The sequence below is a fragment of the Homo sapiens genome, chromosome 6 (genome assembly GCF_000001405.40).
Source record: "Homo sapiens chromosome 6, GRCh38.p14 Primary Assembly".
Taxonomy (NCBI): Eukaryota; Metazoa; Chordata; class Mammalia; order Primates; family Hominidae; genus Homo; species Homo sapiens.
In genome coordinates this window covers 163780671-163783340 of record NC_000006.12, presented here as the reverse complement: position 1 = coordinate 163783340, position 2670 = coordinate 163780671, and the positions used below count along the sequence as shown (strand labels likewise).

At 46.2% G+C, this 2670-nt stretch overlaps 1 annotated feature.

Annotated features, from left to right (window-relative positions):
• Nucleotides 1780-2314: an enhancer, noted in NCBI's record as "OCT4-NANOG hESC enhancer chr6:164202059-164202593 (GRCh37/hg19 assembly coordinates)". NCBI's record gives its function as "activates a minimal SCP1, AML or CMV promoter by ChIP-STARR-seq in naive H9 embryonic stem cells {active_cell/tissue: H9 hESC(naive)}" and the evidence as "EXISTENCE:reporter gene assay evidence [ECO:0000049][PMID:30033119]".

Genomic DNA, 2670 nt, shown 5'->3' with positions numbered 1-2670 from the left:
CTGTCGTTTCTGATCCTACCCTTCTCTCCGATTCTGTTTCCAACACGGCAGATGGTCCTTTGTGCTGCCTCCCATTGAACACTCAACCACTGCGGCAGAGTTTCCTTTCTCTCTTCACCTCCTTCCTGAAGCCCACCCAGGCCAGGCTCCCCTCCCTTCCCACCCTGCGTCTCGCCTCACTGCTCAGGTCTCTGCTTCCTGCTCCAGTGTTGTAAAAGTTATTGCTTAGATTATTTCATTCCTGTCTTTGTTTTTATTTTTAAATCCACTTGCATTTTTTGGTCATAACTTTAATCTGCTTCATAATAATACTGTATTTTTTATCTGCCATTCATTTTGCCATTTCCTCTGATCCTTTCTTCTTACAATAGCTTTTTGTGTAGGAATGTGTCTTGTTGGAATTCATTGATTTCACCCACCTGCTGCTGCCCTGGTTCCTTGTGGAGCGTCACCAGGCAGTGTCTGTGCAGGCCTCTGAATGGTGCATCATGAGTTATTTTAGCTTAGGGTTCCCGCCACACCACTGAGATCTACTGCAAACCACTTCCTGAAAATACAGCCAGCCTCTGACTGCTCCTTCATCCCCATCCGCCTTGACTTCCCTTTAAGCAAAGGACTTTGGAGAAGCTCCCTTTTCCCTGAGACAGGACTGTTGGATTCTCCTCTCCCACTGGCACTTACCCCGCCCTGGAGCACCGTGCTGTGGGCATTCAGCACTCACAATGTCCCCGCCCACACATTCCTGAATGCAGGTTTGACTTCCCATGCACTCCTTTACTTACTGAGCTTACTTACTTACAGGTTACTCTTATCTCAGTTTCTCCAAAGCTGGGGTGCGTGGGGGGTGTTTTCCTTGATCTCCTTCTTGCTTGTATATGATTTCTTTTTATTTTTTTTCTTTTTTTGAGACAGAGTCTCGCTCTGTTGCCCAGGCTGGAGTGCAGTGGTGCTATCTTGGCTCACTGTAACCTCTGCCTCCCGGGTTCAAGTGATTCTCCTTCCTCAGCCTCCCGAGTAGCTCGGATTTCAGGCGTGCACCACCACACCCAGCTAATTTTTGTATTTTCAGTAGAGACGGGGTTTCTCCATGTTGGTCAGGCTGGTCTCAAACTCCTGACCTCAGGTGATCCACCTGCCTCAGCCTCCCAAAGTGCTGGGATTACAGGCATGAGCCACTGTGCCCGGCCACTTGTACACGATTTCTCAAAGAAGAGGAGGCAACACCTTCTTTACACCATCCCCTGAATTGGGGAAGTCACCTTATCCTCCTCATAGGTCTTTTGGAAAATCATTATCTAACATAGATAACTATTCTTTCATTCGACCAATACATGGTTAGAGCTTGCTGAATATTCACTGCTGTACTAAGTGCTATGGATATTGCCTGACGAAGTGGGAGGCTAGAAGATTTGACATTATGGATTTGTTTATTTATTTATTTATGTTTTTTTTTTTTTTTTTTTTTGAGACGGAGTCTCACTCTGTTGCCCAGACTGGAGTGCAGTGGCACGATCCCTGCTCACTGCAATTTCTGCCTCCTGGACTCAAGCAATTCTCCTGCCTCAGCCTCCTGAGTAGCTGGGACTACAGGAGTGCGCCACCACTCCTGGCTAATTTTTGTATTTTTAGTAGAGACAGGGTTTCACCATGTTGGCCAGGCTGGTCTCGAACTCCTGATCTCAGATGATCCACCTGCCTCAGCCTCCCAAAGTGCTAGGATTACAGGTGTGAGCCACCGTGCCCAACCTGGATTTATTTTAAAAGAAACAATATGAAAGCTATGCTTGTGGCACCTCAGATGGGAGTAGAGGACTATTTAGGGGGGCTGCTTTTAGCTGGTAAAGGCCCAAATGCCAAGAGACATTTAGATTGGGGTCCAGAGTTATGACCCCATAGACATCGGCAGCTGAATTTTAACAAATCCACAGATGATCAAAATTCTGTCCTGGAGCCAGCAATTTACTCTGGTTGGAAATGTAAGCCCCAGGCAGCAGCTGTTTTTGACCCTCACCCTGGCATGGAGTCTTTCTCACAAATGGCCCTCACAGCTGGGAGTTTCAAACAGTCTATTCTTTCAAAGCAGTTGTTCCCTAAAGCATTTGTCCTGTCTGCCCAGGATTTTCCAGAGCCCGGGACCAACGTTACTGGAGTCAGCCTGTTGTTCCACACCGAAGCACAGGCCAGCTGCCCACCCAGGGCTGGCAGTGAATCTGAGGCCGAGCCCAAATGGTATCAACTTACTTGCAGCTGTCCTTACCAGAAGCCCAATAGGCCCTCAGCATAATTCCCCTACGTGTTTAAAAAAAAAAAATCTTTCTATGCTGTGGTGAGAAGACTCATAGACTCTGCTTTCTTCTGCACAGCTCTGACAGCAGGGAGGTAAACTCGATGTCCAAAGAGATGATGCAAAATTGATTTCTCATTAAAGTAGAAATTTTAAACTTAAACAGGGAAATATCATCCTTTTACAAAATACTGCTTATTTAGGGATCTGGATAACTTGCATGTATCAAGAATTCTCCTACATTGGTATTTCCACAGTGGGGACAGTGGTTGAATCGCTAGAAGTTACAAATATTCCTCTTTCAAAAGCAAAGAAACAGGGTGATTGATTACCTCAGGTGGGAAAAGAGCAACACAAGGCTATTATGCAAGTGTTTTTGGTCAATC